Genomic DNA, 19,214 nt, shown 5'->3' with positions numbered 1-19,214 from the left:
CTGCCTCCCTCTCCCTGGACCACTCCGAGATCCCAGAAACTTTTGATCTCTTCTGTAACTTAATTCCCTTTTCCCTTCTTAACCTCTAAACCCCCTTTTTATAGTGACAGAGGGAAGAGAAACCTATTCTACAGAAAAAGGAGAGGAAAGGTAGCATCTGAGAGAACATTTCTGTTGGGGAAGGAGCGGGCAGTGAGATGGGGAAGGCATTGGTACCTGGGGAGGAGCAGGAGCAAGGCACCTGAAGGGCTGGTGGGTTCTGGCTGAGGAAGAGGAAGCGGGAGAAGCTCTGGGCAAGGGAAAGCCTGAAGGGGGGCTCGCAGGTTCTCCCCAGGTGTTGCTGCTGAGTGCAGGGGACAGAGCTGAAACGGAGCCTGAGATCTATAGCAGTGGAGTTCAGAAAGGGTTCCAGTGAGGCTGCCCTCCCATCCATGTGCCTGTCCAGGGTCATTGGTCTGCACATTTTTGCTGTGCAAAATTCCCCCTAAATTAATTTTAAAAAATCATGGACCCTCTCACACATTTTTCCTTCCTTGTACATTTTCTAAGTTGGCATCTACAATTTTTCATAAGTCTACATAGTTGTAAACAGTGTTATTCCAGTATGTCATAAATGTTGACATCTTAAAATAAAACTGTAACACTATTCTTTAAAATGTATCCAACCAAATATAAATAGCACAGCAGTTTGATACCCATTATCCATTTAAAAAATACATAGGCCAGGCATGGTGGCTCACCCCTGTAATCCCAGCACTTTGGGAGGCCGAGGCGGGCGGATCACGAGGTCAGGAGATTGAGACCATCCTGGCCAATATGGTGAAACCTTGTCTCTACTACTAAAATACAAAAAATTAGCCGGGCGTGGTGGTGCACGCCTGTAGTCCCAGCTACTCAGGAGGCTGGGGCAGGGGAATCGCTTGAACCCGGGAGGCAGAGACTGCAGTGAGCCAAGATTGCGCCACTGCACTCCAGCCTGTCAACAGAGTGAGACTCTGTCTCAAAACAAACAAACAAAAAAACATAAACTTGCTCTTCAAGTCTAAAATTTTATGCTCTTCTTTTTGTTCTTGAAAGTGTATTTCTAGTTCATTTCTCTCCCATATTAGCCTAATGCAATATACTTTTATGCTCTACAAAAGGAATATATGGAAATTGAAAATTTAAAATTGTTTTTATTTCCTGTAATTATAAGGCTCTACATATTTAATATTTCCTTCTGGACTAAACCATCATTATAGTTAGTTTAAAACTAATCAAAGCAATACAAATACTTATTTTGATAAATAAAAATATACTTATTTTGACCATCAAATGTAGGTTTCATCATACATGCATTTCTTAATTGGGAGTGGGGTGGTTGTACAGTGCTGATTAAAGGAGGTTTGGTTATCACCAATATTTCATAATGTCTCTTGTTGGGCACCCAAGAGGGTCTCATACTTCGGGGCAATGAACCAGGTGGGAGTATCCCTTTCTTTCATAAAGTAAGAAAAGGGCAGGAAGGGAAAAGAAAACCAACACAATGCTTCCATCACAGCCACTTTCTGGGGCAGGTGGATTTAGGAAGGCGTACACATATACGTAAGGAAAGCTGGCCAGTGAAAACCATGAAACCGTGCATACCTGAGTCCTCTTTGGAAAACCTTCAGCTCCTCTGTACAGTATGCGTCCCCCCAAGTTTGCAGAGTGCTGCCTTAAGTGTTCAGGCTAACTCTGGTTACATTTTAACTTCTCTATGTGAGCACAGCATGGGAACCCCTCATACTGGGTATGCGTAAAGACTTTTTTTGGGCTAAAAACAGGACTCATTCGGGTAACAACTTCCATGTGTCACAGTGACCTTTTGTAGCTACACAGACAACAAATCTGTCAGCTATAGAATCTTTTAAGTTCAGATTAAAGAAATAAACCTAAGGGAGGTAGATACAGTTTACTTATTATTTAGCATAACCTTTCTGGAGAGTAAGCCAGCAAACATTAGCATACCCTTTGCCCAGATTACTAAAACTTATCTTGAGAAAATATTTACAGATAAATGTACAAAGATATCCACCACAGTCCTACTTTTTTTTTTTTTGAGACAGGGTCTCGCTCTGTTGCGCAGGCTGAAGTGCAGTGGCACAATCACGGCTCACCACAGCCTCAACCTCCCAGGCTCAAGAGATCCTCCCACCTCAGCCTCCTGAGTAGCTGCGACTACAGGTGCCCATCACTACGGCCGGCTAATTTTTATGTATTTTGTAGAAACAGGGTTTTGCTATATTGCCCAGGGTATTCTTGAACTCCTGAGCTGAAGTGATCCACCTATCTCCCAAAGTGCTGGCCCCTCAGTCCTACTGCCCCACCATGCCTGGCCCCTTAGTCCTACTTATTAATAGAAAGAGAGAGAGAGAGATTAAATTTATAGCACATCTTTGTATAATGGAATATGATCATTTATTAAAGATCATGTTGAGGGGAAATATTCACTGACAAATCAAGGGGAAAATATTCATTATAGACTATAAAAAAGGAAGAAAGGGCATTTTTTTCTTTTCATACACCATGAGTCTTTTTTTTTTTATTTTGGTAAAAATACTCAAACACTGACATACATAGATGTAGGTATATACACAAGCACAGGAAAAATGTACTAACATGTGACTATCATGTACAGTGGGGTTTAGAAGTAATTTCTGTTTTTGTGTTTCTTGTGTTTTCAGGTATCATCCAAATTGTTTTCAGATCAGCAAGCATTAGGATTTTTTAAATTAGAAAAATATACATTTTAATGAATAAATTAAAAACAACAGAAAAAGCACTGGAGAGTCACTTAACAATCTTTATGAGTTTAAGTGCCAGGCCTTGTGCTGGGACCCAGAGCTATACGAGTGACCAATCCCATTCCTGTACTCTTATCTGAAGGGCATGGTTGATAGGTTTGAGAATTCTTAAAATAATTAAAATCAAACACTTTATAAATCTCAAGCCACTGAAATTTCCCAAGCAGCTTTGCATTTAAGAAAAACTCCATGTTCAAAATAAAAAGCTAAACCATCTATAATGTCTCTACAGTCACTGAAAGCCAATTTATTAATTAGCTTTAATTGTATCTTATGTTTCAAACTTTGTCACTACATTTATTGACCGTGTTAATAACAACATTAAATAAAAGAGAAAAATTATTACTTAAAGGCCGCCTCCAAGAGGCAGAAGTGCAGAACTTTGTAGTTCATCCTTGGTGTTGCTTCTGTGCATAAACTGCGTCAGGGAGAGGATCTGCACTTGTTTGGAAAGAAGCAGCTGACACTAAAACATCATTATTGAAATTAACAAACTGAAAATTTATGAAGCACAAATCTTAGAAAAATTTTCCATTGTGTTTCCCCATGTTTACTTGTGATGCATACTTTATGTACTGTGCCTAATTAAATGTAACAGATTATGAAATGTTGAAATGCTAAGTCATGTATAATGGAACATGGCAGCATATTTACATGGTAAACAATTTTACCTCTAACAAACAGTTTCTCCCTAATCAATGTTTTCATCCCCATTATGTGATTCAATTTGAAGTGAGGGATGGAAGCCAGATACTGTTCAATTTTTTAAAGTTAATGGTGTTAATAAATTCTAAATTTCACACCAGTCTTCTCCCTCCAGAAGGTATGGGTTTGATACAGTTTCTATAAGGACAGAAAGGCTGGGCACGCTGGATACACACACTGTGTGCATTCCTCTAAGAACTCAGAGGACAGCTGGATAAATGGGTTTGAGAGCCAAACGGACCTGTGTGTAAATCTTGGCTCTGCAATTTCCTGCCTATGTTACCTTACACAAGTCATGCCATCTAAGGTTCTCCTTTCCTGGTCTACAAGGTGGGATAATGATATCTCCTTCTCATGGGGCTGTTGTGAACATTAAATGAGATGGCATGTTAAATATATAGGACTGTGCCAGGGATGTACCAGGCACTCAGTAAATGTTAGTTTCCCCTTTTCTTAAAACAAATCAGCAACAACAAAACCCTCTGAAGGCCAATGGCATACACACCATGCTTGCTTCCTACAGTGCCTAAGGTCAGGACCCCTTTTCCCAGGAGCTTCAAGTTCTGGGCAAGCTGATCCCTGCTCCCAGTGCTGGTGAGACACTGGCAAGAGGGAACAGGCAGCAGCAAGAAGGGAAAAGGAGGTGAACTCCTGCATACCTGACCAGAATAAAATTCCTACCACAGAAGACCAAGAGCGCCTGTCTGCCACACTCCTGCTGGGCTATTGTTCTGCACAAGTACCTGACGGCACTACCTCTATCCCTTCTCATCCCTGCCCCAACTAAGCAGGACAATGCACTGGACCTAGAATTTGCAGGAAACTTGAATTCCAATGCCACTTGTGCCTGTATTTAAACAGTAGCCATTTGCAAAGGGCTCATTATGAGTCAGCTCTGTACTAGGAACTTTGCATGTATTATCTCATTTAACTGTTACAAAAACCCAATTCTACTGAAGCAAAAACTGAGGTCAGAAAGTTTATGTAACTTGCCTAAGGTTACAAAGCCCGTTTCATTATGTCTTACCTGATAAAACTTGTTTTCTCTTAATACTTAAAACAAGTTTCGAAAATTATTCTTTACTCAATTTCATTTCTTTTTCATTGTATTAAGTGGTGAGGTCTACAAACCTATATTCTACCTTTTCAATGCAAAATATTTCAGCTCCTTCATGGTTAAAATGTGGGCTAGCCCAAGAATCCACACAATTTTTTTTCTCTTCTAAGAAAATAAGTTGCAAATTTGGCCAGGCGCAGTGGCTCACACCTGTAATCCCAACACTTTGGGAAGCAGAAGTGGGTGGATCACCTGAGGTCAGGAGTTTGAGACCAGCCTGGCCAACATGGTGAAACCCCGTCTCTACTAAAAATACAAAAATTAGCCAGGCATGGTGGTGCATACCTGTAGTCCCAGCTACTCAGGAGGCTGAGGCAGGAGAACTGTGGGAGAACCTGGGAGGTGGAGGTTGCAGTGAGCCAAAATCAGGCCACTGCACCTCCAGCCTGGGCAACAGAGCAAGACTCAGTCTCAAAAAAAAAAAAAAGAAGTTGCAAATTTATAACAACTGACTTGAAAACCAACTTTTGGAAAACATCCCACTTTTAATGGGAGAACCGAACAAATAGAAATTCAGTTTCCATAGCATTTGAAATAATTTAAAACAGATTCACTTGTCAAGTACAGTATTTTTTTATCTGAGGCTGTGAAAAATTTTATTGCCATAATGTGCTGACGCCCTTACAGTTCAGCTTTGCCCTTTCTACTCTGCATGATAGACTGATAACTGCTCATGACATTCACAAAGAGGTTCATCTGCAAAAGTGTATAAAACGTCAGCCTTGCGGCCACAGTACATAGAAAATGGATGACACTGTTCAGCTCCCTAAAACACGTGCTGAGGGGTGCCTCTAAATTACCACAGACAACATTTACAGTTAAGAGTTTTTTTTTCTTTAAAATTATTTTTCTCATTAGAAAAAAAAATGTGGTAGGTATACAACTCAATAGTTTTCCTTCCTAGGCTCTATGGAGAGCCTCTTTGACAGATTTTGAAACACTGACATCACAACTGTGGAAATGCCTCCCATCAGCTACACTGAAAGGTGGAGCCATCTCCCAGGCAACACAGCCGCATCCCAGAATGAATGCACAGAGCACTCCAAATAATGATGGGCCAGACTTTTTGTCCTGACAAGTTTCACGTAAATCTAATCCCTGTAAATAAGAACATCAACATGCATTCAGTGTCCTATGAAAAGAAATCCTATAGTCACGCCTCTTGTTTAAGGGAAACGCTTATTTATTCAACCACTACTCCTTACCACATACCCACTGCAGTCTTCTTTTCTTTTCAAAAATCCAGAAAACTTTCATTTAATTGTTAAAGTGGGTATACCTATCCTCAAAAAGCATAGTAAGCTTTCAACATATATAATTAATTCTCATCAAAAATGAATCTCATGCATTTTTGGAGTAAAGAATACTATATATATATATACACAGTATAGGTCCATCAGAGACTAAGAACAGACACACCCTCATGCCCCTCCCTGGCTCATACCTTCAGGGAGCCTGTGAATACTTACCACGCTAGTTGGCTGGATGTCAGAACCTTTGCTCCCTCTTTCTTTTGGATCCTTTACAAGACTCTGTATGCCCGGCAAGAAAATGTAGGTTGAATGGATGACAACTGGCATTTAATGAACATTCCTGAGATGCCAGGCCCTGTACTAGGCACTCTTCATACATGATTTCATTAACCCCTGAATCCCCTGAGCAAATTATCATTATTCTCATTTTATAGATAAAAAATGGACTCATTAAATAATTTGCTCAAGGTCACACTGTTAATAAATAGTGCTGGAGCAGAGTCTGAGTGACTTCTCTGCCTTCCTACACAGAACGTACAGTCATCTGAAGTTAAAGTACCAGTTTATCAAAATACATGATAGGAAAGGACAGCACTGGATGGGTGCGGTGGCTCATGCCTGTAATTCCAGCACTTTGAGAGGCAGGAAGATTGCTTGAGCTTAGGAGTTTAAGACCAGCCAGGGCAATGTGGTGAAACCCCATCTCTACAAAAAATACAAAAATTAGCCAGGCATGGTGGCTCATGTCTGTAGTCCTAGCTACTTGGGAGGCTGAGTTGGGAGGATCACTTGAGCCCAGGAGGCAGAGATTGAATTGAATTTTCAGTCTTTTGCTATTATAAAGACTGGAGCAAGAAACATTGTACATAGATAATGTGTTTGTAGATTAAATTCTTAGAAATGGACTTACTGTGTGCATGTATATATATATATATACACACACACACACACGTATATACCTGCACATATATACAGATATGTACAGTATATACATACATACACATACCACATACACATTCATGTATATATTATATATAAAGCTATAAATTTCTTTCTAAACATGGCTTTAGCTGTATCCCATGAGTTTTGGTATGTTATCGTTTCACTGTCATTCAGTTATTTTCTAATTTCTATTGTGATTTCTTCATTAACCCAAGGGTTATATTGCTTAATTTCTAAACATATGGAATTTTATTTGGTTATCTGTTACTTTCTAGTTATCTGTTTGTCATTTCTAGTTTGATTCCACTGTAGTCAGAAAACATACTCTGTTTTAAACTGTTTAAAATTTATTTACTGAGAAGTACTTTATGTCCCAGAATATAGTCAACTTTCAAATTGTTCTATAAGTGCTTAAAATTAGAATGTGTATTCTGCAGTTGTTGGATGTAGTGTTCTATGTATGTCCATTAGGTCAAGTCTGCTAATTGTGGTGTTAAAATCTTCTATATCTGTGCTACTCCAAAGTGTAGTTCCAGAACCATCAGCATCAGCATTAATCTGGGAGCTGTAAATTGCCAGCCCCACTGCAGACACTTTGAATCAGAACCTCTGGGAATGGGGCCCAGAAATCTATATTCTAACAGCTCTCCAGATCATTCTTATTTATGTATGCTACAGTTTAAGAAGCACTGTTCTATGTCCTTACTGACTTATATGTATGTGTCTGCTTGTTCAGTTACAGAAAAGTGTGAAAATCTCTTATAATGATTTTGAATTTGTCTATTTTTCTTTGAAATTGTGTAAGTTTTGCTTTATGTTTTTTGAGCTTCCTTGAAGTGCTCTTAATCTGATATTATTAGATCAACACAAACTTTCTTTTGGCTATTGTTTAAATTTTTTCATACTGTTATACTTTCTATGTCCTTATATTTTACATATGTCTCTTAGAGAACACATAACTAAGTTTCATTTGTAAATCCTGACTCTATTACTTAGAGTATTAAATTCATTTACTTTAATGTGATTACTGACATATTTAGGTATAAACCTATCATCTTACTAAGTACTTCCTATTTACTTCCTATTTGTCCCACTTACTATGCATTTTCTCTTTTTTCCTTGCCATCTTTTAGACTGCTTATTTTAAAAAAAATTATTCTATGTCTCTGTCTCTCTTTATTAGTTTGAAAGCTATATATGCTTTACTTTTCTTTAAGTAACTACCCTAGAGATTTATACTTTCTCAACTATTCAATTCTAACATTAATTGGTACTTTTTCACTAATTGGTACTTTTGCCATCTTTCCCGGAAAACGTAAGAGTCTTAGAACACTTACTCTCCTCTCATAACTTATAAGGCATTATTGTTGTGTATTTTAATTCTATACATACTATAAGCAAAATAAGACATTATCTTTATTTTAAACAGTATTATTCACTTAGATTTACATACATATTTATCCTTTTCTTTGCTTTTCTACTCCTTCCTGTATCTCCTCCCCTGTATCTGTAATCTTTTTATTTCTGTCTGAAAACACATTTTTTGTATTTCCTTTAGAGAGAAAATGAGAAAAATTATTTCAATTTTTGACTGAAAATGTCTTTATTTCACCTCCACTATCAAAGGACATTTTTGGCAGGTACAGAATTCTAGGCGGACATTTAATTTGATTCATCACTTTAAAGATATCACTCCATTGTATTATGTCTTTATTGTTTCAGTTAAGAAATCAGTGGTCATTGAATTGTTGTTTTATTGGAGGCAGACTTACTTTTCCCTCTAGCTGCTTTTGTTTCAACCATGTTTAGTGTGGATTCCTATTTATTTATTCTGTTTGGGGACTGGTGTTCTTCATGAGTCTAGGGCTTGGAATTTGCTATGGGTTTTGGAAAGTTTTCAGCCATTACATTTAAAATACTGCTTCTGACCCATTCTCACATTTGCTTCTGGGGCTCAATCACATTTATATTAGACTTTCTTACTGTATCCTCTATGTCTCCTATTCTCTGTCTCCCAATTTTTCTATCCTATTGTCTCTGTATTCTTCAATATCATTATTTTCTTGGGACTCTTCTTCCAGTCCACTGATTTTCCTTTCAGCAATGTCTAATCTGCTTTTAACCCAATCCACTGGGTTCTTAATTTTGATTCTAACATTTTTATTTGACCCTTTTTTTATGGTTTCCAATTCCCTGACAGAATTGTCCAGTTTGTCTTTCCCCCATTATAGATATTAAGCATAGTTATTTTATAGTCCATATCAGATTCCTTTATTTCCTATACTGTTGTGAGTCTGTTTCTATTGTCTGTTGTTTCTGCTGGTTTCTGTACCAGAAACATTGTCATTTTGTCTTGTATATCTGTTTCTTTCTGTGATTGTGTGCCCAGTTTTTTGTTTGTTTTTGTTTTGTTTTGTTTATAGAAACAACTTGAAGCCTAGGATGCTGCTATCTTTCTCCAAAAAAAAATTTTGTATTTGATTTCTCCAAGCACCTATGAATAGCAGCAATCCAATGTCAAGGAATAAGGTATTCTAAGGCAGAATAGCAGATCTTCCATTAGGGTCTATTTCTGATGCACTCACTGCTAAGATGTAGCCCTAAGCAGTTTAAGTCCTAACCCAAAGCAAAGGGAAAGAGGAAGCATCCCTTAGCAGGTCTAGACACCAATTCATACCTTTTTACCCCTGAAAAGTAAAGGGGTCTAAAGCCCTGCTTAAATTCTCAGCCTCTTAACTATTACCTTAGAATTGGCAATGGAATCAGGGAAATGTCGTTTCCCCCAGCCTTATTTTCTTATTATCTGCAGGTTCCCTGGGCAACTTCATCCATTCCCAGGGCCTCAACTAGGAACTTAAGTGAATGACCTCCAAGCTGTATCTTTAACCTTGACCTTTCTTCTGAGTTATATTTCCAAACTGAACATTTCCCAACAGATCTGAAGGCAATGTGAACCTAGCATAACTGCTGCCAAGCTTTAATGTCCCCTCCATCAAAACAGCTTTTCCTTATGTGTTTCCTGTATCAGTTAATAATATCATCATCTTCAGTAAATGTCTATGTGCTGGACACACTGTGCTAGGCCTTGAGAATATAAGGGTGAATAAGATAGCAGTTCTGGCCAAAATCGAGTTTACCATCTATCAGGGGAACAGCATTTAACAAATCATTGTTCAGTTACAATCATGGGGAAAAGAAGTTATGAGAATATACAATGGAGGATAGGAACTAGAGGTATCAAGGAAAGCCTTCTTGAAGAGCTGACATTTGAAGTGAGCTTTGAAGGAGTAGAAATTAATAAGACATCTCTATGTGTTTGGCAGGGGGCAGGGATAAACAATTCCAAGCAGGAGAAACTGCGTAACAATAATTACTATTATATCTTCACTTACTCTGTGATAGGCACTCTGCTAGGTGCTTTACACGTGCTTTATCTTACTGAAACTCCCACAACCCTAGGAAGTACATGCTATTTTTTTTTTTTTCTTTTTGAGACAGAGCCTCACTCTTCTGCCCAGGCTGGAGTGCACTGGCATAATCTCGGCTCACTGCAAACTCCGCCTCCTGGATTCAAGCAATTCTCCTGCCTCAGCCTCCTGAGTAGCTAGAACCACCGGCATGCGCCACCATGCCCAGCTAATTTTTTGTATTTTTAGTAGAGAGAGGGTTTCACCATGTTGGCCAGACTGGTATTGAACTCCTGACCTCAAGCAATCCGCCCGCCTCAGCTTCCCAAAGTGCTGGGATTACAGGTGTGAGCCACCATGCCCAGCCAGTACATGCTATTTTTATCCCAACTACACACTTGAGAAAAGGAGGCACAGTGAGGTAAAATGACTTGCCCAAGGTCACTGAGCTAATAAACTGGGGAGGAGTTGGGGTTTTAGTTCAGGCTTGTCTGAGTCTTCACAGTCTGTAGCCTTAAGTCTTATAATAAAATCCCCCACCCCCCACATAATAACACAGGCTCCAGACTTATTAAACTGTTCTCCTAACATATCTGTTTTTTGCTTCTGAGTTTCCTCTGCTTAGAATATCCTTTCTCCCAAAGTCTTATTCATCCTTCTCCAGGTTCTACACATCATCTTCTCTAGAAGGTCTTTCCTGATCCTCTCAATAGAAAGTAAACCCCTCTTTGTACTATATTCCACACATGGCATCCATTTGTGCCTGTGTGCTTCTTCAGGTAACTTTTATATTCTGTCAGTAACACATCTGTCTGTTTCCCCCAACAAATTCAGTATTTCTTGGGGAGAAGAACCCTATCTTACTGACCTTTCTTTGCCACAGTTCCAGGCATAGTGCCTGACATATAGTAGGCACTAAGTACCTATTGAGCAAATTAAGAAAATAGCCAAAAATCCTGGTAAGTACCTTTGGCTAGATCAAATTAACTTATTTAAACTGTAGTTTCTACTCTCAAAACCCACACTTATTTTAGAAAAATGTGTTCTCCACATAGCTGACAGAAGAATTGGGAGAGAAATCAAAAGAGAAGAAACAAGGAAAGCCCAAGAGCATCTCTGGAGAAGGTTTCTGGATGCAAACATCACAGAATCAACAGAAGTGGGAAGCCAGGAGGCTTGAGCAAGGCGCCTGTTCTGACCAGGTATCTTCACCCTTTGGACTACATTGTCTATCTTCTGTTCACTCCTCCCTATCCACTCTCTACCCTGTCATGGGCCCCAGGAGGCTGCCCTGGGTGCCCTCAGGCTTCTGGCCAATAGTAGGCACTGGCGGCAGATGGGAAGGGAGAAGAGTGAGGTCACAGTATTTGTTCCCCTGACTCCTGCACTATAAGGCTGCCTTTTTTCAGGTCTCAGTCACTGGCCTTCTCCACACACCTCCTCTGTCTTGAGATCTACTGACCCTTCCCTCATCTCTTCAGGCCAAGTGGGTAACAGAACCAATCACTAGTATTATCCTTTGTGGTTTCCCTACACTCTGCCCACACTATTGTAAATAGTCACTTGCTTAGTGACCTTGAGCAAGTCATTTTACCTCACTTATAAAGTGTCCTCCAATTATTCCAGTTTGAGTGTGACATCTGTTTTCTGCTGGGACCCTGGCTTATATATTGGCCTATTAGCCTCAAACGCCTCATGGAAGCAAGGCAGCGGAAAGGTTAGACACAGTGCTGAGACTAGCATGAGAAAAACTGATAAGAATACTCAATTGGAAAGAAGAAGAGAAGGAATAGGTAAAAGAAGGCAAAGGGGACAAAAATGGAGGAACCACAGTTCTGATTATGACTTCTTCCAGGTATAGGGAAACTCAAAAACCCTAAATCTAAGCTGCAAATTCTCTCTCCTTTCTTTTTTTTTTTTTTTTTTTTTTTTTTTTTTTTTTTTTTTTTTTTTTTGAGACAGTCTCACTCTGCAGCCCAAGCTGGAGTGCAATGGCATGATCTTGGCTCACTGCAACCTCCACCTCTAGGCTCAAGTGATTCTCATCCCTCAGCCTCCCGAGTAGCTGGGACTACAGGCGTGTGCCACCACGCCCGGCTAATTTTTTGTATTTTAGTAGAGACGAGGTTGCCCAGGTGGTCTTGAACTCCTGAGCTCAGGCGATCCACCCGCCTCAGCCTCCCAAAGCACTGGGATTACAGGTGTGAGCCACTGTGCCCAGCCTGAAAATTGTCTCTTTATCCTTGTTTGGGTATCGTATCAACTGAGTGTTAGAGATTTCCTCAAAATAGTCAATTCTAAAATAAATATAATACCTGACATCACTGGAGCAAGCTTTAAGCACCACACCAATCATGGTACTGATTGTTTGTAGAGAACAACAGCAACAAAAAAATCAGAAGCTTCCCTGTTTTCTTTAAATCTTGCAGATATGCCTCATCTGTACTTCATGCTATAGCATCCTCAAAGCTCCCATTTTTTACAACCTGCTCTTTTATTCTCTGCGCACTGTTTAATGATGTCCCACCTCCACTGGGATACACAATCAGAGCTTTTAGAACAGAGGGTCTGTAGCCTTCTTTTAAGACATGTGAAAGAACCGTTTTAACAAAATAGCTGCCTTTTCCTTCAACTTGTTTCTGGTTTACCAACTGCATACTTGCAGTAGGAATCTACTTCTGCCTTCTGTCTACTGCCAAAGCAACTGAAAAGGCCTTTATGTATAGCTGAAAAAAAGTACTGTAATTTGATAGTCATCTTCTTTTTTCCTGCTCTAATTATTATTTTAACGGGCTTCTTCTTATTTTAATAGTTTTTTTAATAAGGAAATCTTACTTACAAATTTTAATTAGCTTACTGAATATTCACTGCTTTGGAATAAGTAGTTTAATGAGTAAAGAGACCTCAGACTACTAACTAGCCCAGAGTCTCTAAAGTAGCTTAGCGGGAAAATGATGCAGCCCTAGTGATATTATCCAAGGTCCGTGCCTCACAAACCAGCACTCTGCAGCCTGGGCCCTGGGGATGAATGAATCACACTGCCTCTTGCAAGAAAAAAAGTAAGACTTCAGTTTCTCCCCTTTTATTAAGAATATCTGTGTAAAAATCCCCAAGTCCCCTACTCACTAAGGCTTGTGACCCTTGTCAAATCACTTAACTTCTCTGAACTTCAGTTTCCTCATCTGTATGGGTTAGATTGTGATGTTATTTATATTAGACTATTATAAAAGCAGGTCTTATTTGCCTCTTTAAGAGCTCTAAAATATGTTGGTTGAGTGAATAAATACCATTTCTGGTTCTCATTTTTGTTTTTAAATCAATCCTTTCTTTACAGTACATTTCAACTACAGTAGAAATGAAGAATAAGTTAACATTTTTCATTCTAAAAACACCTAGCAGAGAAAATACAGCCAGTTACTCAAATTCAAAATTGGAATTAGGAGAACGATGAAGTTTTTTACAGCTTAGTAACTTGAATAATCAATGTAAATTAGCTCTATTCCAAAAAGTAAATTAATATCTGCTCTACTAATTAAGAGTATGTGACAATTTAAGTATGATTCTCAATGCATATGACATGTGAAATAGTTTCTTCTTTTGTCAATTTTCAGGGTGTTAGGTAAAAGAGGAACTCCCTTTTGCTTACTTAATCAAAGCAAGTCAAGAAATCAGAAATTTCAAATTCTGGTTTAGCAAATCTCTTTCTCACACATTCTACATCCAACCTATCAGGAAACCCTGTACCTTCACAATTTATCCAGAACCCAGTCACATCTCATCATTTCTATCACAAATACTCAATTAAGTGAACACTCAAGTGTACCCCAACTGATAGCTCTGCTTTCCCTTGCCTCCCAGGGTCTAATGTCAGTACAGCTGCCATGGTGATCCTATAAAACTTAAGTCAGATCCATGTCACTCCTCAGTTCCCCATCTCACAGTGAAAGCCCAAGTCATCACCATGGCCTAGAAGGCCCATGAACCATTTATTTGGTCCCCAGCATCTTTAACTTCATCTCCTACTACTTGCTCCCTTGCTCAGGGCACTTCTACCTCAGGGCCTCCGTACTTGCTGTTCCCTCTGCTAGAATGTTCCTCACTGATTATCCACATGACTTGTCCTTCATCTCCTTCAAACTAACCAAAAGATACTTCCTCAGGAGGGGCTTTCTTTACCACCCTATTAAAAATTGCATCCTCTAACCACTTCCCTCCTTCATTTGTCAAGAGCAACTATCACTTTGTAACTGACTGTCTTGTTTACTTATATGTATACTCCCACAAAAATGTAAGTTCCATGAAGGCAGGCTTGTTTTTGTTATGAAAGTAAACTTTTTAGTCAAATAAAATAAAAATATACAAAAAAGGGCCACACATCATAGGTATAGAGTTTAATGAATTTTCATAAAGTGAACATACCCATGGAACTAACACTTAGATCAAGAAATAGTTCTTCCTCCTTCCAATCACCATTCCCCCAAAAATAACTATTAATCTGATTTCTAACCCCCAAGGTTAATTTCTCTTGTTTTTCTATTTTTTATAAATGAAATCAAGTTTTTCCATTTTTTATAAATGAAATCAAGCACTTCTTTTACTTAGCATTATGTAGTTACATATAGTTATAGTTCATTCATTCTCATTGTTAAATAACATTCCAAATATACATAAATATACCATACTGGTTTACCTATTTTCCTCTTGATGGACGTTTGCATTGTTTCTAGTTTTGGCTATTACAAATACTGTTACTAAGGATATTCCTATACATATCTTTTGGTGAGTATGTGTACACATTTCTATCAGGTAGGACATGGGTCTGTCTGGTTAAGTTCACTGATGTCTCTTTCATCCCTAGCACAGTATTTGGCACATAATCAGCATTATTCAATAAATGTTTATTAAACGAATGGAAACAGTCTTTTTAAATTCTGTTACTTAGATTTAATAACTGACATGAGACTTCCTTGCCTTATATATGCAGGTTTGTAATGCATAATAATTAAATTAATCTCTGTAAACCTGCCACTAAAATTAAGAAAGACTGTTAGTAATACTGAAACTCCTTGATTGTTCCTTCTTGATCCCATCTCATTGGATTCTTTTTCTTCTTTTTTTTTTTTGAGACGGAGTTTTGCTCTTGTTGCCCAGGCTGGAGTGCAATGGCACGATCTTGGCTCACCCCACAACTTCCACCTCCTGGATTCAAGCAATTCTCCTGCCTCAGCCTCCCGAATAGGTGGGATTACATGCATGCACCATCACACTCGGCTACTTTTTGTATTTTTAGTAGAGACGGGGTTTCTCCATGTTGGTCAGGCTGGTCTCAAACTCCTGGCCTCCCAAAGTGCTGGGATTACAGGCGTGAGCCACCACACCCGGCCCTTTTTTAATTTTATCATTGCCTTTCTTTCCTTTATGTTTAACCACATATATGTCTCCCCTGACAATATGCTGTTTAGCTTGCTTGGTTTTAAACTTCCTAAAAATGTTATGTTACGTGTATTCTCCAATTTGCATTTTTCACTCAACATGAATTGATACTTGTAGATCATTCTTTTTCCATTGCTGAATAGTGCTCCATTGTGGGATTATAACACAGCATATTTATCCATTTCTCCAGTCCGTGGACAAATGGTTTGTTTCAAATTTTTTGCCATTTCAAACAATGTTACTATGAATGTTCTTACCAGTGTTTCCTGAAATACAGACAAGAGGTCTTCTAGAAATTGTGGGTTGAATGGTATATGCATGTTCAAATTTATAAAATAATGTCAGAAGTTTTCCAAAGTGGCTATATCAATTTACATCCCTACCACCAATATTATAAGGGCTCCTACTGCTACACATTCTTGGTAGCAGAATGTGCCAATCTAGGAAATATAAGTTTGAAATATAAAAATACTGCAATTTTTAATCATATTTTCCTGATTCCTAATAAGAATGGGGATCTTTTCATACAATTGACCATTTCTATTTTTTCTTCCATGAAATCCTTGTTTGACTCTTTTGCCTATTTTTGAAATCGGTTCTTTGTCTTTTCTTATTAATTTATAGGAGTTCCTTATATATTTTGGATTTTAATCCTCTGTTGCTTATACACTTGTAAATATCTTCTTGCAGTGCGTGGACTGTTTCTACAGTTTAGAAAATATTTTATTTGAAAATAATTTCAAATGTGAAAAAAGCTGCAACAATAAAAATAGCATAAAGAATATTTGTATATGCCCTTCCCCTATTATTATTTTTCCCCATTTGTTTTATCTTTGTGGGCACTCATGCTGTGTGTGTGTGTGTATGTGTGTTTATATACACACACACACACATATACATGCAAACACACATTTTTTTTTTCTGAACATCTGAGGCTAAGTTATACTCATCATGGTCCTTTACCCCTAAGTCAGTCAGTGTATATTTCCTAAGTCTAAAGAGATTCTCTCACATAACCATAGTACAATTATCAATTACAATTTATTTCAGTAAATTTAACCCAATAATATCTTTTATGGTATGGTTTTCCCCACAGTACAGAATCCAGTCTAGGGTAAAGTATTGCAATTACTTGTCCTATCTCTTTAGCTTCTTTTAATCTAGAACATTTCCCTGGCCTTTCTTGGACGTTTTTAAAGAACAATGCTCCTTCCCCGCTTTTGTCTTCAATAGAACATTCCTCATTTGGGATTTGGCTGGTGTTGTCTTGTGATTAGACTCAGGTTATGTTCTTGGATGAAATACTACACCCAATGTCCGTCTGCTCCTCCTTGGTGATGTTGATTCCAATCACTTGGTCAAGTTTTTGTCCCATTTCTCCACTCTACTATTACTTTTTTTTTAAATCTCTTGTAACTTTAAATGGTCTATGGAGAGACACTTTAAGACCATGTTCTTCATCTAAATTTTCCTCTAGATTTAATATCTATTGATAATTATATCTGATCCCATCTTTACTGAATAGTTGTATCATGTTGATGTTTTCAGTCTTTATTAAGTACTTTGATAAACAAAAGTTCTACCACTGAATCTATCAGTCTTCTCTTTTGTTCCTTACACATTTTATGTCCTGTTTAAGGAATTCTAGCCTGCCCTCACAGCACTAAAGATATTGCCTTACACTTCTTCTGAAGTTTCCCTATTATTATTATAAGCAGTTGCAGTAAATAATAGATCAGAGTTTCATATATTCTAAATCTAGTAAAAATAGTGTTATTCCAGTTGCCTGTTTTCAGGGGGCTTCAATATTTTTAAAGTTGGTTTTCTCTATGAACAATTTCTAGATTCTAAATTTAATTGTATTTCAGTATGATTTACATTTTAAACAATATTTTTTCTCTTTTGAAAGTAGTTAGCCAAGTGTAGTGGTTCATGCCTGTAATCCCAGCACTTTGGGAGGCTGAGGCTGGAGGATCACTTGAGGCCAGGAGTTCGAGACCAGCTTGGACAACAGGGTGAATCCCTGTCTGTACAAAAAATTTAAAAATCAGCTGGGTGTGGTGGCGTGCCTGTAGTCCTAGCTACTCAGGAGGCTGAGGCAGGAGGATTGCTTGAGCCCAGGAGTTCAAAGTTACAGTGAGCTGTGATAACATATCCCTGCACTCCAGCCTGTGTGACAGAGCGAGACCCTGTCTTTAAAAAAGAAAAAGCAAAAGCAGTTGACCTGTCAGGCCTAGAACAGAAATTCTTTGCTTTCACTTTTTAAAAACTTAAACAAAAGGCCATTAATTTATAAGCATAACTTATTTCTGAAATTCTGTGTTTGAAAGGCTGACCTGGAAGAAACAAGGTCAGAAAGTTTGCTTTTTAGACAGGGTAACAGAGCTATATCTATATTATTTCTACCTCTGTACCTTTTTCTCAGCAATTGCTAAAAAAAAAATTCAAAACATAATAAAGCTATTTTTCCATAGAAAACAAGTGAAATAAATTTAATAATTAACTGTTTTTTTTAAAAAAAACACACTGGTAAGTGGGTTCCTAGCCTATTTTAGAAGTTAAAACTCCCTAGTTCAGAACAGCCAGAAGGAAACCTTTTTATCACTTATTCCACAAGTGTGTATTGAGCACACTCTACACTACACACAAAGTGTGAAGTACTACAGCTAATGAAAACTCCAGATTCTATTGTTTTTGAAATAGATGATATTAATCTGTTTTATTCTCTAATGGTGCATATACTATAGAATTGTTTTTTAAAAAAGAGTGGCAGCAAGAAAATGCTTAAACTCATCCACAAACATTCAAATTCTAAGTCAGAGAGTGGTTGTGAGAACAGGAAAACCAGGCGTGGCATCATCATCCGGTGTTCGGCATGAACCTAATCCTTTCACTAATGTTCAGGGAAAAGGCATTCGTCATAAAATCCTACTTGAAACGATTCTTCTTTTAATTTTGTCTTCTCTGGCTAACCCGGCATATCATATTATTCCTCCATATTTCATATGGAAGTGAGTAACCCAGTTAGTAATGTTTTATATAATATATGTCTATGTAAGCTGGTAATCCAAATCAATTATATTCCATTTCTAACTGCGTAAAAAGAAATCAAGATATACCATTTCATAAGAGAAATGACAATAAACCTTGAATGAAACCTTAGTTATGAATCAAAGTTTGCTCTTGAGTTTCTACAGAAAATAATGCCAAAAGAGGAGCTGGAAATCATCTTACACCCAGGCCCTATTCCCTCAAATAACAATGACTTCATACACTGATATGAGACCCTCATTGGAACTTGAAAGGGATCTTTAGTATCTTGAACTTTATCTACAGTACAAGTATTTATTTAGAAACTACTTTTAAAAGTGGTTTCATGTGACCCCTAGTGAACACTGAAATTTTTGACAAGCGTCAGTTTTTCCTTAAGTTTCACTACAAAAACTGGTTGGTAAACTACTGCTTTTGCATGCTATAAAGAAATGCTCTTCAAATGTCAATCTATTAACAATAATATGAACATTTATACAAA

At 37.9% G+C, this 19,214-nt stretch overlaps 1 protein-coding gene across 12 annotated transcripts in view, besides 1 other annotated feature; it reads right to left on the bottom strand.

The window, feature by feature from the left end:
- PBX3 (PBX homeobox 3) overlaps window positions 1-19,214 on the bottom strand; it is a 220,005-nt gene that overhangs the window by 11,821 nt on the left and 188,970 nt on the right. For 5 of the 12 annotated variants that reach the window (NM_001411009.1, XM_047423441.1, XM_011518755.3 and 2 more), the window contains one exon: window positions 6,117-6,179. The exons of the other annotated variants lie outside the window; for them this stretch is intronic. In NM_001411009.1, the coding sequence (NP_001397938.1) occupies window positions 6,117-6,179 (63 nt within the window). The remainder of the gene's footprint in view (window positions 1-6,116; window positions 6,180-19,214) is intronic. 12 annotated transcript variants of the gene reach the window in all.
- Window positions 3,904-4,419: an enhancer, noted in NCBI's record as "OCT4-NANOG-H3K27ac hESC enhancer chr9:128713417-128713932 (GRCh37/hg19 assembly coordinates)". NCBI's record gives its function as "activates a minimal SCP1, AML or CMV promoter by ChIP-STARR-seq in naive and primed H9 embryonic stem cells {active_cell/tissue: H9 hESC(naive and primed)}" and the evidence as "EXISTENCE:reporter gene assay evidence [ECO:0000049][PMID:30033119]".

This window comes from Homo sapiens, chromosome 9 (genome assembly GCF_000001405.40).
Source record: "Homo sapiens chromosome 9, GRCh38.p14 Primary Assembly".
Taxonomy (NCBI): domain Eukaryota; kingdom Metazoa; phylum Chordata; class Mammalia; order Primates; family Hominidae; genus Homo; species Homo sapiens.
The sequence above is the reverse complement of the archived record's forward strand: the minus strand, read 5'-3'. Positions and strand labels throughout refer to the sequence as shown.